This window comes from Homo sapiens, chromosome 2 (genome assembly GCF_000001405.40).
Source record: "Homo sapiens chromosome 2, GRCh38.p14 Primary Assembly".
NCBI lineage: Eukaryota > Metazoa > Chordata > Mammalia > Primates > Hominidae > Homo > Homo sapiens.
In genome coordinates, this window is record NC_000002.12 from 62,744,474 (window position 1) to 62,761,938 (window position 17,465).

The following is a 17,465-nucleotide window of genomic DNA, read 5'->3' on the forward strand; positions in this document are numbered from 1 at the left end:
TTCTATTGAGAAGAATAACCCACAGCAGTTCTTTATTTTAGAACACTGCCTCAGTTTGTTCCCGATAATTAAATAGTCGACTGATTTCTAGTGAAGATATTTAAAATGTTAACATGACTTAAAATCACAAAAATGTTTAGCCATCTTTGGGGGCATTCATAAATAAGTGACTTTTGATCTATTTACATTCTTGGAACATCAGGCATATATACAGCTTAGGAGACCGCCCTTCTTGCTTTTTTATGCTAAAAAGCTTTCATTTTCTGAAGCACTGAGATGCGTTAAGTGGCAGGAGGGTGCTAAGCATTAGAATGAGGCAACAGTTCAGGTGGCACTAGGAGGATGTTGTGTAGGGGACACACTCTCATTGCCATCACAGGTAATGCCTCACTAGACTTTCAAGTCAAACAGTGGTTGTCAGCCTTGGCTGCACATTAGAGTCACCTGTGAAATTTAAAAAACTGCACACCAGACCAATTAAATCAGATTATCCAGGGCTGGAACCTAGGTATCAGTATTTAGAAACGCTTCCCTAGAGTTTTTATTTTAATGTGCAGCAAGAATAAGGATCCCTGCAAAGCTTGGATGAGTTGCAGAGATGATGTATTATATAGCTACTGGCTTCAGTTGGACCTCATCAATTATAATTAACCAATTGGGAGTTCCTGGATGAAACTTAAGGTTTATTCAGTGCCGCATATTCATTGAACCTCAACCTTGTACTAGATTATTAGTTGGTAGGATTACAAAGATAAATAAGACGTGGTTGATAAAATAGTGCAGTCTAGTGTGAGAGACAGAAATAATAAATACTTACAATGCAAGGTGTATAGAGTATTAAAATAGAAAATAGGTGTGTCTAGGTTGTTATTGGGAACACAGGTGTAATTAACTCTGAGGCTTAGAATATGGAATGGGTGGGAGGGGATGGGGCAGGAGATGACATGAGAAATGGTCAGGGTTACACAGAGAAAGTGATAAATTAGGGGTTTACTAGGTAGAAAAATGGAAGAGGAAGTTTTTTTGTGTGTGTGTTTTTTTAAACATTGTAACATTGCAAAGATGTGAAGAAATGAAGAAATATGTGTTCAGGGGTTGGTTATAGAGCAAGATGCCTATGAGATATTTGCAGGTTATACAGCTAGAGAGATAGATCAGAGTCAAGTGGTGAGTGAAATGCCTTACAAGCCGTGTTGAGAAACAAGGGTGTCACAGGGCCAAATGCACATAGGGTCTAGATAGATCATTTTAAGGAGTGAAGCTGGTCAGGTGTGAAGCAGTTGGTAGTGTTGGAGGCTCTCCTAATCTGGACAGCATAGGCCTTGTTTAAAGGCATTTAAATAAGAACTTTTTAAAAGAGTTTAAGTTTAAAATAAAATAGAATACTCTTTCAGTCAAGTAAACCTGTAAAATTCAACCTGCAAGGGCCAGTTGGTGGTACCTTCAATTTAAGAGCCCAGCATAGGATGATAAACAAGGAAAAACTGTAAGATAGCATTTCTATAAAAGTACTGTCGAAATATAATTTCAGAGTTGAAATTGTGCTGGAGCTGTGGAGATGAGAGCATAAGTGAAGAGGTTAGTGCAGTAATCTAGGTAAAATGTTCTGGCAAGCCATCAATGTTTTCAAATGAGGTAGCTTACATTTGTTGGCTACTGTTCTCCTCTTGTTAACTTGCCATCATAGATCATACCTTCTTCCCAACCCCATCTATCATGTTGTTATACCGCACTCCATTCTTACTCACTGGAATTGTCCTAGTGCAGGTTTCTGTGTTGAACAAGGTGTTTTTTTTGTTTTTCTTTTAACGGTTGTTTGTTTTTCCATTGGTATAACTCTCTCTAGATAGCAGTATAGGTTTGTAGGTGGATCGCTGAGTGAGGAGTTTAAGGCTGGAGGCCTCTTATGTGTGTGTATATATATATATGTATTTAATTAAATGAAATAGGAGGAAAGGTTATCTGCTGAAAGCACGGGATTCCAGTGTAAAATGAACAGGACATAGAAAGTGGTGAAGGTCAACAAGATGAGTATGACTTTCATTTCTTGGTTAAGAAGCTTTTATCTAAGATTTTTTAAAATGAAAATTTAAGTAAAATAAGTGATAATCATAATCTTGATGTTTTTCATAAGAACAAAAGAGAACTTAGTTATATTAGGTTGATGCAGAAGTAATTGCGGTTTTAGTCGTTAAAAGGAATGGGAAAAACCACAGTTACTTTTGCACGAACCTAATTTTACCTGAAAATGTATTATTTTTGTTTGACTTTATATTAGTGGAAGATAGAGAAGAGAAATCTGAGATTAGAAGACCTGTATTTCAGTCTTGGTTCTGCCAGAGCTTTTGATTATTTAACTTAATAGTCTTTTAAGCTTAACTAAAATAGGGATAATAGTATATACCTTGCCTATTTTTTCAGTACCGTATTGTTTTTAATGAAGATTGAGATGATTGGCTATAATAATGTTTTAAAAACCACAAGCATTGTTCATGAGATACAGAGATGCAAAAGTAGTGAATTCATAGATTTAAATTATTTTGCAAGTGCCCTTTTTATGCTTGTTTACTTCACATTAAAGGGAATAATGTGTTAGAAGTATGGTGTTAATTTATGGAGAAGATATGTGTGTGCTTTTTTTCTTTTTAAAATAGACCAGTTCTAAATATTTTATTTTACTTGGTTTGTCCCTGTGATTTAACTTGCTAAAGTATTGTTGGAAAAGGACATGGAGGAAATATTAGTTATGCAAATTAGGTCACATCTGTAGTTAACATCTACTATATTTGATAGAGCTTTATTGTAACAGTAGCTGCTTTATGTAGCCTAAAGCAGATGACATTTTTGCCCTTTTAAAGGCGCTAAAATGAAACTTTATTTATTTAAGATAAATTATGTTTAACTTTTTTTTTGTTTGGCAGGCAACCAGATAAACTGGTGGTAGTTTGGACCAGAAGAAGCCGAAGGAAGTCTTCTAAGGTTAGTGTATTTTCTAAATTTCTTACCTAATTGTTGAATACAAATTAGCAAACTGCTCTGGTTCCAGTGTAGAATATTTTAAAATATTACTTGATGTTTTGTTTTTTTTTCTTGATTGTCTACTGAAAATGGATTGATCAGATGCTATAATCTTTTAACTGCTTGTTCTCAAAACGGGAGCCAGATACCTGAGTTTTGGTCTTGGATTTGGTAATTACTATGGTTTGAAAAAAATCAGGTGTTGCCAATGTAATAGAATAGGTTGGTGCAAAAGTAATTGCGGTTTTGCCTTAAAAGTAATAGCAAAAACTGCAGTTACTTTTGCACCAACCTAATATAAGGAGGTGGGGGGCCTTTAAGAAGTGATTAGGGTAAGGACTTCTCCCTTGTGAATTCAATTAGGCATCCTTATAAAAGGACTTGATAGAGGGAGTTTGTTTCCTTTTTGCCCTCTGCCTTCTGCCACATGAGGATGCACTAAGAAGGCCCTCACCAGATGCCGATGCCTTGATCTTGAACTTCTAGCCCTTAGAACTGTGAGAAAATAGATTTCTGCTCTTTATTTATTACTCAGTCTGCGGCATGTTGTTACACCAACACAAATGGACTGAGACAGTAGCCTTGAATAACATAATAGTTAAGTTACTTCTCTGTACTACAGTGTTAAGAATTAATGATTAAACAGGTACCACTTACAAAATTGTACCTAAGATTAATTTATTTAGATTACAAGATGACGAAGTTAGGGCACACTTAAGAAGTTACGAGTTATCTGAGTCTGTTGCTGGGGTGCAGAAGAGGAGTTGGATTTTTCAAAGATTTTAATTTCTTTTGGTACTGATAATTTTGTTTGTGGGGAGTGGAACCGAATTTTATAATATTCAATAACAGTTCTACAGATATTTAAAAAATTCTATCCTGGCCAGATTCTATCCTTACGCCTGTAATCCTGGCACTTTGGGAGGCCAAGGCAGGAGGATCGCTTGAGGCTAGGAATTTAAGACCAGCCTGGGAAACATAGTGAGACCCCATATCTACAAAAACAAAAACAAAAACAAAATTAGCCAAGTGTGGTGATGCACCTGTAGTCCCAGCTACTGAAGAGGTTGAGATGAGAGGATTGCTTGAGCCCAGGAGTTTGAAGCTTTATTGAGCTAAGATTGTGCCACTGCCCTCCAGCCTGGGTGACAGAGTGAGACTGTCTCTAAAAACAAAATTCTGTTCTAAAATAAATGTGACTATATTTTTTATTAGTATACAATGACCACAAGAATGTTTATTGAATGTTGGTTTTTCTACAAGTAGACCTGTATAAAGAAAACTTTATTAGTTTTAATTGAAATCCTACAATTTTCTGTATTTAAAATTTTTTATTTAGGGCCTCTTTTCAAGTCTTTTATTTTTATTGAGCTAAAACTTACATATGTGTAATACACAGATCTTAATTTTATAATTCAGTAAGATTTGATCAATATGTATACTTGTATAATTACCACTTCTGTAAAGATACAGACTGTTTTAATCACTTTTTTCTTTTTTATTTTATTATACTTTTAAGTTCTAGGGTACATGTGCACAACGTGCAGGTTTGTTACATATGTATACATGTGCCATGTTGGTGTGCTGCACCCATTAACTCGTCATTTATATTAGGTATATCTCCTAATGCTATCCCTTCCCCATCCCCCCACCCCACAACAGGCCCCCTGTGTGTGATGTTCCCCTTCCTGTGTCCAAGTGTTCTCATTGTTCAATTCCCACTTATGAGTGAGAACATGCAGTGTTTGGTTTTTTGTCCTTAAGATAGTTTGCTGAGAGTGATGGTTTCCAGCTTCATCCATGTCCCTTCAAAGGACATGAACTCATCCTTTTTTATGGCCGCATAGTATTCCATGGTGTCTATGTGCCACATTTTCTTAATCCAGTCTATCATTAATGGACATTTGGGTTGGTTCCAAGTCTTTGCTATTGTGAATAGTGCTGCAGTAAACATACATGTGCATGTGTCTTTATAGCAGCATGATTTATAATGCTTTGGGTATATACCCAGTAATGGGATGGCTGGGTCAAATGGTATTTCTAGTTCTAGATCCTTGAGGAATCGCCACACTGACTTCCACAATGGTTGAACTAGTTTACAGTCCTACCAACAGTGTAAAAGTGTTCCTATTTCTCCACATCCTCTCCAGCACCTGTTTCCTGACTTTTTAATGATTGCCATTCTAACTGGTGTGAGATGGTATCTCATTGTGGTTTTGATTTGCATTTCTCTGATGGCCAGTGATGATGAGCATTTTTTCATGTGTCTTTTGGCTGCATAAATGTCTTCTTTTGAGAAGTGTCTGTTCATATCCTTTGCCCACTTGTTGATGGAGTTGTTTGTTTTATTCTTGTAAATTTGTTTGAGTTCTTTGTAGATTCTGGATATTAGCCTTTTGTCAGATAAGTAGGTTGCAAAAATTTTCTTCCATTCTGTAGGTTGTCTGTTCACTCTCATGGTGGTTTCTTTTGCTGTGCAGAAGCTCTTTAGTTTAATTAAGTACCATTTGTCAATTTTGTCTTTTGTTGCCATTGCTTTTGGTGTTTTAGACATGAAGTCCTTGCCCATGCCTGTGTCTTGAATGGTATTGCCTGGGTTTTCTTCTAGGGTTTTTATGGTTTTAGGTCTAACATTTAAGTCTTTAATCCATCTTGAATTAATTTTTATATAAGGTGTAAGGAAGGGATCCAGTTTCAGCTTTCTACCTATGGCTAGCCACTTTTCCCAGCACCAATTATTAAATAGGGAGTCCTTTCCCCATTTCTTGTTTTTGTTAGGTTTGTCGAAGATCTTATGGTTGTAGATGTGTGGTATTATTTCTGAGGGCTCTGTTCTGTTCTATTGATCTATATCTCTGTTTTGGTACCAGTACCATGCTGTTTTGGTTACTGTAGCCTTGTAGTATAGTTTGAAGTCAGGTAGCATGATGCCTCCAGCTTTGTTCTTTTGGCTTAGGATTGTCTTGGCAATGCAGGCTCTTTTTTGGTTCCATATGAACTTTAAAGTAGTTTTTTCCAATTCTGTGAAGAAAGTCATTGGTAGCTTGATGGGATGGCATTGAATCTATAAATTACCTTGGGCAGTATGGCCATTTTCATGATATTCATTATTCCTATCCATGAGCGTGGAATGTTCTTGCATTTGTTTGTGTCCTCTTTTATTTCGCTGAGCAGTGGTTTGTAGTTCTCCTTGAAGAAGTCCTTCACATCCCTTGTAAGTTGGATTCCTAGGTGTTTTATTCTCTTTGAAGCAATTGTGAATGGGAGTTCCCTCATGATTTGGCTCTCTGTTTGTCTGTTATTGGTGTATAAGAATGCTTGTGATTTTTGCGCATTGATTTTGTGTCCTGAGACTTTGCTGAAGTTGCTTATTAGCTTAAGGAGATTTTGGGCTGAGACAAATGGGGTTTTCTAAATATACAATCATGTCATCTGCAAACAGGGACAATTTTACTTCCTCTTTTCCTAATCGAATACCTTTATTTCTTTCTCTTGCCTGATTGCCCTAGCCAGAACTTCCAACACTATGTTGAATAGGAGTGGTGAGAGAGGGCATCCCTGTCTTGTGTGAATTTTGAAAGGGAATGCTTCCAGTTTTTGCCCATTCAGTATGATATTGGCTGTGGGTTTGTCATAAATAGCTTTTATTATTTTGAGATACGTCCCATCAATACCGAATTTATTGAGAGTTTTTAGCATGAAGGGCTGTTGAATTTTGTCGAAGGCCTTTTCTGCATCTATTGAGATAATCATGTGGTTTTTGTCTTTGGTTCTGTTTATATGCTGGATTACATTTATTGATTTTCGTATGTTGAAACAGCCTTGCATTCCAGGGATGAAGCCCACTTGATCATGGTGGATAAGCTTTTTGATGTGCTGCTGGATTTGGTTTGCCAGTATTTTATTGAGGATTTTTGCATGGATGTTCATCAGGGATATTGGTCCAAAATTCTCTTTTTTTGCTGTGTCTGTGCCAGGCTTTGGTATCAGGATGATGCTGGCCTCATAAAGTGAGTTAGGGAGGATTTCCTCTTTTTCTATTGATTGGAATAGTTTCAGAAGGAATAGTACCAGCTCCTCCTTGTACCTCCGGTAGAATTCGGCTGTGAATCCATCTGGTCCTCGACTTTTTTTGGTTGGTAAGCTATTAATTATTGCCTCAATTTCAGAGCCTGTTATTGGTCTATTCAGAGATTCAGCTTCTTCCTGGTTTAGGCTTCGGAGGGTGTATGTGTCCAGGAATTTATGCATTTCTTCTAGATTTTCTAGTTTATTTGTGTAGAGGTGTTTATAGTATTCTCTGATGGTAGTTTGTATTTTTATGGGATCGGTGGTGATATCCCCTTTATCATTTGTATTGTGTCTGTTTCATTCTTCTCTCTTTTCTTCTTTATTAGTCTTGCTAGCGGTCTATCAATTTTGTTGATCTTTTCAAAAAACCAGCTCCTGGATTCATTTTTTTTTTGAAGGGTTTTTTGTGTCTCTATCTCCTTCAGTTCTTCTCTGATCTTAGTTATTTCTTGCCTTCTGCTAGCTTTTGAATGTGTTTGCTCTTGCTTCTCTAGTTCTTTTAATTGTGATGTTAGGGTGTCAGTTTTAGATCTTTCCTGCTTTCTCTTGTGGTATTTAGTGCTAGAAATTTCCCTCTACACACTGCTTTGAATGTGTCCCAGAGATTCTGGTATGTTATGTGTTTGTTCTCATTGGTTTCAAAGAACATCTTTATTTCTGCCTTCATTTCGTTACGTACCCAGTAGCCATTCAGGAGCAGGTTGTTCAGTTTCCATGTAGTTGAGCGGTTTTGAGTGAGGTTCTTAATCCTGAGTTCTAGTTTGATTGCACTGTGGTCTGAGAGACTGTTTTAATTTCTGTTCTTTTACATTTGCTGAGGAGTGCTTTACTTCCAACTGTGTGGTTAATTTTGGAGTAAGTGTGGTGTGGTGCTGAGAAGAATGTATATTCTGTTGATCTGGGGTGGAGAGTTCTATAGATGTCTATTAGGTCTGCTTGGTGCAGAGCTGAGTTCAGTTCCTGGATATCCTTGTTAACTTTCTGTCTCGTTGATCTGTCTAATGTTGACAGTGGGGTGTTGAAGTCTCCCATTATTATTGTGTGGGAGTCTAAGTCTCTTTGTAGGTCTCTAAGGACTTGCTTTATGAATCCGGGTGCTCCTGTACTGGGTGCATATATATTTAAGATAGTTAGCTCTTCTTGTTGAATTGATCCCTTTACCATTATGTAATGGCCTTCTTTGTCTCTTTTGGTCTTTGTTTAAAGTGTGTTTTATCACACTTTGTTTAAAGTGTGTTTTATCAGAGACCTGGATTGCAACCCTTGCCTTTTTTTATTTTCCATTTGCTTGGTAGATCTTCCTCCATCCCTTTATTTTGAGCCTATGTGTGTCTCTGCACGTGAGATGGGTTTCCTGAATACAGCGCACTGATGGGTCTTGACTCTTTATCCAAATTGCCAGTTTGTTTCTTTCAATTGAAGTATTTAGCCCATTTACATTTAAGGTTAATATTGTTATGTGTGAATTTGATCCTGTCATTATGATGTTAGCTGGTTATTTTGCTCGTTAGTTGATGCAGTTTCTTCCTAGCATCGATGGTCTTTACAATTTGGCATGTTTTTACAGTGGCTGGTACTGGTTGTTCCTTTGTATGTTTAGTGCTTCCTTCATGAGCTCTTGTAGGGCAGGCCTGATGGTGACAAAATCTCTCAGCATTTGCTTGTCTGTAAAGTATTTTATTTCTCCTTCACTTATGAAGCTTAGTTTGGCTGGATATGAAATTCTGGGTTGAAAATTCTTTTCTTTAAGAATGTTGAATATTGGCCCCCACTCTCTTCTGGCTTGTAGAGTTTCTGCCGAGAGATCTGCTATTAGTCTGATGGGCTTCCCTTTGTGGGTAACCCGACCTTTCTCTGTGGCTGCCCTTAACATTTTTTCCTTTATTTCAACTTTGGTGAGTCTGACAATTATATGTCTTGGAGTTGCTCTTCTTGAGGAGTGTCTTTGTGGCGTTCTCTGTATTTCCTGAATTTGAATGTTGGCCTGCCTTGCTAGGTTGGGGCAGTTCTCCTGGTTAATATCCTGGAGAGTGTTTTCCAACTTGGTTCCATTCTCCCTGTCACTCTCAGGTACACCAATCAGACGTAGATTTGGTCTTTTCACATAGTCCCGTATTTGTTGGAGGCTTTGTTTCTTTTTGTTCTTTTTTCTCTAAACTTCTCACTTCATTTCATTCAATTGACCTGCAATCACTGATACCCTTTCTTCCAGTTGATTGAATCGGCTACTGAAGCTTGTGCATTTGTCACGTAGTTCTCATGCCATGGTTTTCAGCTCCATCTGGTCATTTAAAGAGTCCTCTACACTGGTTATTCTAGTTAGACATTCGTCTAATCTTTCTTCAAAGTTTTTAGCTCCTTTGCGATGGGTTCGAACTTCCTCCTTTAGCTTGGAGAAGTTTGATCGTCTGAAGCCTTCTTCTCTCAACTTGTCAATGTCATGATCCGTCCAGGTTTGTTTCGTTGCTGGCGAGGAGCTCCGTTCCTTTGGAGGGGGAGAGGTGCTCTGATTTTTAGAATTTTCAGCTCTTCTGCTCTGTTTTTTCCCCATCTTTGTGGTTTTATCTACCTTCGGTCTTTGATGATGGTGACATACAGATGGGGTTTTGTTGTGGATGTCCTTTCTGTTTGTTAGTTTCCCATCTAACAGTCAGGACCCTCAGCTGTAGGTCTGTTGGAGTTTGCTGGAGGTCCACTCCAGACCCTGTTGCCTGGGTATCACCAGTGAAGGCTGCAGAACAGCAAATGTTGCTGAACAGCAAATGTTGCTGCCTGATCTTTCCTCTGGAAGCCTCATCTCAGAGGGGTACCTGGCCGTGTGAGGTTTCAGTCTGCCTCTACTGGGGGGTGCCTCCCAGTTAGGCTACTCGGGGTTTAGGGACCCACTTGAGGAGGCAGTCTGTCTGTTCTCAGATCTCAAACTCCCTGCTAGGAGAACCACTACTCTCTTCAAAGCTGTCAGACAGGGACATTTAAGTCTGCAGAGGTTTCTGCTGCCTTTTGTTCAGCTATGCCCTGCCTCCAGAGGTGGAGTCTACAGAGGCAGGCAGGCCTCCTTGAGCTGCGGTGGGCTCCACCCAGTTCGAGCTTCCTGACTGCTCTGTCTACTCAAGCCTCAGCAATGGTGGGTGCCCCTCCCGCAGCCTTGCTGCTGCCTTGCAGTTCAATCTCCGACTGCTGTACTAGCAATGGGCAGGGCTCTGTGGGCGTGGGACCCTCCGAGCCAGGAGCGGGATATAATCTCCTGGTGTGCCGTTTGCTAAGATTGTTGGGAAAGCGCAGTATGAGGGTGGGAGTGACCCGATTTTCCAGGTGCTGTCTGTCACAGCTTTCCTTGGCTAGGAAAGGGAATTCCCTGACACCTTGCACTTCCCGGGTGAGGCAATGCCTTGCCCTGCTTCGGCTCATGCTCGATGGGCTGCACCCACTGTCCTGCACCCACTGTCCGACAAGCCCCAGTAAGATGAACCCGGTACCTCAGTTGGAAATGCAGAAATCACCTGTCTTCTGCATCGCTCAACGCTGGGAGCTGTAGACTGGAGCTGTTCCTATTTGGCCATCTTGTAACCACCCCCACTTTTTTCTTTTGTTCCTCTTCTAGGCAGTTCCCAACCCTCAGAGGTGAACACTGTTTTGATTTTCTGTTACCATAAGACTAGTGTTGCTTGTTCTTGAGTTTCATGTAAAATAGTACAGTAGTACAGTCAGGCTTGTTTCGCTTGACATAACGTTTTTGAGATTTGTTCATGGTGTTTTGTGTTTTGGTAGTTTATTTGTTTATTGCTAAGTAGTATTCCTCCATGCAAATATACTACAATATGATTATCTCTTCCTGTGTTGATGAACATTTGTTTTTTTTTTCCAGTTTTTTACTCTTGTGAATAAAGCTGCTATAGACATTATTGTACAAGTGTCTTTGGGGAAAAGTATTTTTTTATCTTGGGCATATCCCAAGGAAAGGCATAACCAGGTAATAGGGTAGGTTCATTTTTAACTTGTAAGAAATTGCCACGCACTCTCACCAGCAATATTGAAGAGTTTCAGTGGCCTCACATCCTGAGCAGCAGCATCTTTAAAGCATATGTTTATAGTTTGAGAGCATTATAATTTGAATGCCTTCTTACCATTAACATATGAGAAGGGGTTTTAAAAAGAAACATAACATTTGTTGGTCAATATAAGCTTTTGTGGGAAGGACCAATATAAGTTTATCCACTAAGTATAATAGGTGAATATGACTAGACCTATAAATTTTAGAAATAGCCTCTAAATGTTTTTAGTTATCAACAAAAAACAATTTATCTCTTTTAATAATTAGCTTGAATGCCACATTCAGGGCTTGAAAAAAAATTAGATAGCAATTATTGTCTAAGAGAAAATGAGAAACATAAGGAAATGCGTTAGATTATAGGTCAATTAAGAATACCCTGGCTGGTTGTGGTGCTTCACGCCTGTAACCCTAGCACTTTGGAAGGCTGAGGCAGATGGATTACTGGAGTCCAAGAGTTTGAGACCGGCATGGGCGACATGGTGAAACCCCCTCTCTACAAAAAAAAAAAAAAAGAATACCTATATTTGATGTTTGATATTCTTTTTTATTTCATTGCATTTACATTGAAAAGATTGAAAAGTTAGTCAAATAATTTCTCTGTGAGGTCCAGATTCTTTTTCATATTGTATCAAACATTGTTTGAATCCAGAATGCAAACATATGAGGCTACAGGTTGATTTTCATAGAATATAGTATTTTGTAGAAGAAATTACTTATTGTTGGATGAATTTTCCGTTTGTAATGCTCTTAACATTTTAAAATCTTTCCTGAATACGTTAGAATCATTGTGATTTCTCTTGAAACACAGATGTACTTCTTGTGAAAAGTTAGTATGATGCAGTATGTTCATGTATTTATGAAAATGCTGTTTTAGGCTGCGCGTGTTGGCTCATGCCTGTAATCCCAGCACTTTGGGAGTCCGAGGCAAGTGGATCACCTGAGGGTCAGGAGTTCTAGACCAGCCTGACCAACATGGTGAAACCTCATCTCTACTAAAAATACAAAATGAGCTGGAAGTGGTGGCACATGCTTGTAATCCCAGCTACGCGGGCGCTGAGGCAGGAGAATAGCTTGAACCCGGGTGGTGGAGGTTGCAATGAGCTGAGATCGTGCCATTGCACTCCAGCCTGGGCAGCAAAAGTAGAACTCTATCTCAAAAAAAAAAAAAAAAAAAAAGACAGAAAATGCTGTTTTATAAATTGTACATAATAAGCTAAATAGGGAAATAAAAATAAGTTCCAGAAACTATGAAGGAAATGATTATATTATTATAAAAGTTAAGCAACTGAAAAAGAAATCTTGAGAGTGAGATCCATGACATTTCAGAATGATTGAAAAACATTTGTTTCCAGCTGCTAAGTTAGGTATCAGTTACGTTAAATCTAAAGACTAGAACCACTTTTTATTGTGAAAGACCTTTCTGTTTTCTGATGCTTTTCCTTTAAAATATACGTTACTTGCTGCTAAGTACCACTGAACTCACATAGGAGGAACAAATCTCTGCAACTGTTGGTCAGAAAATATATATATATTTTAAGACAGGATCTTACTTGTTGCCCAGGCTAGAGTGCAGTGGTATGATCACAGCACTGCAGCCTTGACATCCCTGGGCTCAGGTGATCCTCTGACCTCAGCCTCCCAGGCAGCTGGAGAGGCGTGCACCACCATGCTGGGCTAATTTTTTGTTTTTTTGTAGAGATGGGATTTACCATGTTGCGCAGCTAGCAGAATATATTCTAGTTTTTACTTTGTACTATGTTTTAGAAAGAGTTTGAACTACATGATAATCATTTCTTTCTTTCTTTTTTTTTTCTTTTTTTTTTTTTTTTTTTGAGGCAGAGTCTTGCTCTTGCTCTGTCGCCCAGGCTGGAGTGCAGTGGGATGATCTCGGCGCACTGCAACCTCCGCTTCCTGGGTTCATGCAATTCTCCTGCCTTAGTCTCCCGAGTAGCTGGGATTACAGACATACGCCACAATTCCCGGCAAATTTTTGTGTTTTTAGTAGAGACGGGCTTTCACCATGTTGTTCAGGCTGGTCTCAAACTCCTGACCTCGAGTGATCCACCTGCCTTGGCCTTCCAAAGTGCTGGGATTACAGACATAAGCCACCATGCCCAGCTACAATAATCATTTCTTTTTGGCATCTGTGTAGCTTACTATTTTTCTTTACTGATTCTCAGTATATTATCTATTTTTATTTTTAAAAATTTAGAATTGACACCCAGATAGGTCAGTTCATTACCTGATTAGACAATAAAATAATAGGACGCCTTCTGTAGTCCCTGCTACTCGGGAGGTTGAGGCAGGAGAATGGCGTGAACCCAGGAGGCGGAGCTTGCAGTGAGCCCAGATAGCGCCACTGCGCTCTGGCCTGGGCGAAAGAGCGAGACTCTGTCTCAAAAAAAAAAAAAAAAAATTTACTTCTCAGTTTATTGCTCACTCTTTTTTGAGGTACGTGTTTGAATTTGGAGCTAAATATACTAGGAGCTCATTATAGAATCTTTGTTTTGTTTTTGAGACAGTCTTACTCTGTTGCCCAGGCTGGAGTGCAGTGGTGTGATCTCGGTTCTCTGCAACCTCCACCTTTCAGGTTCAAGCAATTCTCATGCCTCAGCCTCCTGAATAGCTGGGATTACAGTCATGCACCACCACACCTGGCTAAGTTTTGTATTTTTAGTAGAGATAGCATTTCACCATGCTGGTCAGGCTGGTCTCAAACTCCTGACCTCAGATGAGCCGCCCGCCTCAGCCTCCCAAAGTGTGGGATTACAAGCCTGATCCACCACATCTGATCCTAGAATAATTTTTGATTGAGAGAATAATTACCCTGAGTAGTTAACACAATATGCAGCTTCCCTTCCTCTTCTCTTTAAGTCATGGCTTTTATAACAAAGATTTTTGTCAGGCTGCAATTGATTTGTATATGCTTAAATAAATTATGTTTCAGTACAATATGTGACAGTATTGGAATCAGGGCAGTTAGGATAGACCAGAAAAATTATGGCAGAGTAGTTATGTTGCCCTAAATCCTGTTATCTTATTAGAAATTTAGGCTCACAGAGAGGTTGGAGAATTCCAAAAAGAAACCATAACTTTAAAATCCTCACCAATTTTTTTTCATGGCATTACCACCTTTACTTCCTTGCTCTGTGGTTGTGCTACAGCCTTTGCAATGTGCTACCATTTCAAGAAGGAGAGTACAGCTAGCTGCAGAGCTTTGCCTAATGACAGTTATGTTGACAACTCTAAGATGACTTTATATATGACATCTTATGTGGATATATGCAGTTTTAAAAATTGAAAATTGTCAGTTTAAAAACTATATGGCATTTGTAAATTTTCACTGAAATATTTCAATTTTACAGGAATCAGAAATAACGAATGATTGCTAACTCTGTACTTAGTTCTGTACTAGGTACACGTTTTTTAGGTAAGAATATGACATGAAATAATTAGCGAATGAGACAGTTTATAGAGTCACCCAAAATTGAGAAGTGTTGCCTTTTTCCAAGTTGGTTTTTGGCAGATGTCAAAGGATCTTTGATGTGACTTGAAATGTGAGGAAAATTGTAGAAGGGGACCAGGATAATGTATCCTAACTTTTTCTGCCATTAGCTGTACTAGGATATTGGCAAATGATTAAATAATCTGCCTTTCCTAACTATACTAAGGAGCCAAATGGCTGTATGTGTGTTCCTGTGCCTACTTATTTTATAGGGAAATCCTTTCTATTACTCAGAATGAAAAATGATCAGGGCTCTCATAGTGCTGATGTTTGCCAATATGGTGTGCTTTTTCTTTTGTTTTTTTGAGATGGAGTCTCGCTCTGTCATCTAGGCTGGAGTGCAGTGGCGTGATCTTGGCTCACTGTAGCCTCCACCTCCCTGGTTCAAGCGATTCGCCTGCCTCAGCCTCCCAAGTAGCTGGGATTACAGACGCCCACCACTATGCCGGCTAATTTTTGTATTTTCAGTAGAGACAGGGTTTCACCATGTTCACCAGACTGGTCTCAAACTCCTGACCTCAAGTGATCACCTGCCTCAGCCTCTCAAAGTGCTGGAATTATAGGCATGAGCCACCGTGCCCAGCCAGTGGTGTGCTTTTTCCTATATCAACCTCTTAAAAACCTAAATTAGTGTCTCTGTGGGTTAGTACAATTAGATATTTATTACCATAACTCTTTCTAGTTACCTGTATTAAACTTGTCATTCTTTTTCTAGGTTCAGATTACCACTGTTTGAGGTAAAAGTTGTAGTAAATTCTTAGAAAACAGTAACACTATTTTTTTTTGGTCAGATTTTCCACTTTGAATGTCCTTGGTTTCTTCTCTGGTGAAACTTACTGATCCTCTGCTTTCTACTAGTACAGTTGTCCCTAGGTATATACGGGGGATTGGTTCCAGGACCCCTGTGTATACTGAAATCTGCACATAAAGTCCTGAAGATGGCCCTGTGGAACTTGCATATGTGAAAAGTCAGCCCTCCACATATGCAGGTTTTGCATCTTGTGCACACTGATTTTGGTCTGCTTTTGGTTGAAAAAAAATCTGCATGTAAGTGGAACTGTGCAGTTCATACCTGTGTTGTTCAAGGCCAACTGTAAATAATAATTAGCTAAACGATAGAAAGCTGGCCCTGACTGTACTCATTGTCAGCTATTTAGCTAGACTAATTGATACTATTACAGTGTCTTAACTCAGCCAGGTTGTACAGCCCCAGAAGGAATATCAAAAAGCCAGAACTCGGTTAGACCTTTTTGTTGGGAGAGAGTTCCTGGATAGAATGGTAAGAAAGAAGCAGTGTACTAGCAACTTAGGAACTAGCATACTAATGTCTCCTTTTATTAATCATAATAAAAAGATTTTAGTTTGTTAAGCAGATTGTATTTTTGTTTGTTCAGCAGTCTAATTACTATTCCCTGATCCAGGACTGAGGATTTAGAGGACCAAGCTTTAGGATACCTGAGGAAATTATCTGAAGCTATCATCTCCTAACTCTGCCCAGTTGTTAGACGGTCTCCGTATTCCCTGCTTTTCCCACTTTTGATCACTGTGTCATACACTGAAATATTAAGTCCTAAGGGATAGAAGACTATTTTCTTGACTACCATGCAAATCAGAGATAGAGCAGGGCATGATATGGGTTTGGTGAGTCATGGAGTCTGGGCTCTCCTCCTGGTTGCTAGTATGAGTTCATGCAAACCATTTACTCTTTGCTTGCTTCAATTTCCTTATCCAGATCTGAATTAGATCTAAAGATATTTTCAGGTCTAAAAATCTCTGATGGGTATTTTTCATTGAGAATTTAATAGGTAGCCTTGTCTTTTCTGCTGGGGATGATTAGAAAGATTCAGTGATTACACTCTTTTTCTAACATTTTTATTGCATGGAACAACTATGAAAATTTAATTGTGGGAAGCTTGAAGAGACCAGAAAAACAGCTTGATTAACCATAAGAGTTAAGGTTGTTATAAGTTTTCAGAATTAAGTATGTGGAGTTTTAATTGAGTATTAAGAGTGGAGTTTTGATTGATTATCTAGGGTGCACAGAAATTTACTTTTCAAAATGGAGATTGTTTACTTTGTGGAGTTTTTGTTTTAGGGCTGTCAACAGACATGGAAATAGGGGACTAGAGAAATCTCTGGAGAGATGTTTTTTAATCAAGAAAACTCTGTTCTGTACCTTTCACTATGGTATGCTAAGTCTCGTGATGAGCCTCTGTTTCCATCTCTGTACCTGAAGTTTTGTGACAGGGTGGCAATAGAAAGAGAATAGAGGGAGAATTATTGACAATTCATAAGTTGGATTTGGTGTACACTGTTAAACCTGTATCTTCTTTTGGCATTTTAACTAGTAAGATGTGATAAGATTTGCATGGACCTAAGTTTACCTAATCTTGATCCCTTCTCGGTTCCTTGGCCCAGGTTCAAATCAAATTCTGCTACTTACTTTCTGTGTGATCTTGGGCAAGTTTGTCCCTCAGTTTTTCAATCTGTTAAATCTGCTGCCTGACTTGCATCTGCACTCATATACTGTAACTTCTTTTTCTATTATTATGGAAGAATGGTCTGTGCTTCCAGGAAGGATCAATCTGTCTTATTGTATACTGTTAAGGACATTAGCAATTCTCCCTTCTCTCTTCTGCATCATTAGATTTTCCCTCTCAACTGAATATTTCCCATCAGCATAAAATATTTTTCTCTTCTTAAAATTCTCTTCTGCAACGATTTTCTCCACTAGCGCCAACCTGTTTCTTTTCCTTTCAGCAAAACACCCCAGAGGAGTTGAGTATATTTGCTCTCTTCAATTTGTTTCTTCCCATTCTT

The 17,465-nt window shown here is 38.7% G+C and overlaps 1 protein-coding gene across 52 annotated transcripts in view; it reads left to right on the top strand.

The window, feature by feature from the left end:
• The window catches only part of EHBP1 (EH domain binding protein 1), a 372,610-nt gene that overhangs the window by 70,596 nt on the left and 284,549 nt on the right, over nt 1-17,465 (top strand). For all 52 annotated transcript variants that reach the window (XM_047443744.1, NM_001142615.3, XM_011532718.4 and 49 more), the window contains one exon: nt 2,922-2,979. In XM_047443744.1, coding sequence (XP_047299700.1) covers nt 2,922-2,979 — 58 coding nt within the window. The remainder of the gene's footprint in view (nt 1-2,921; nt 2,980-17,465) is intronic.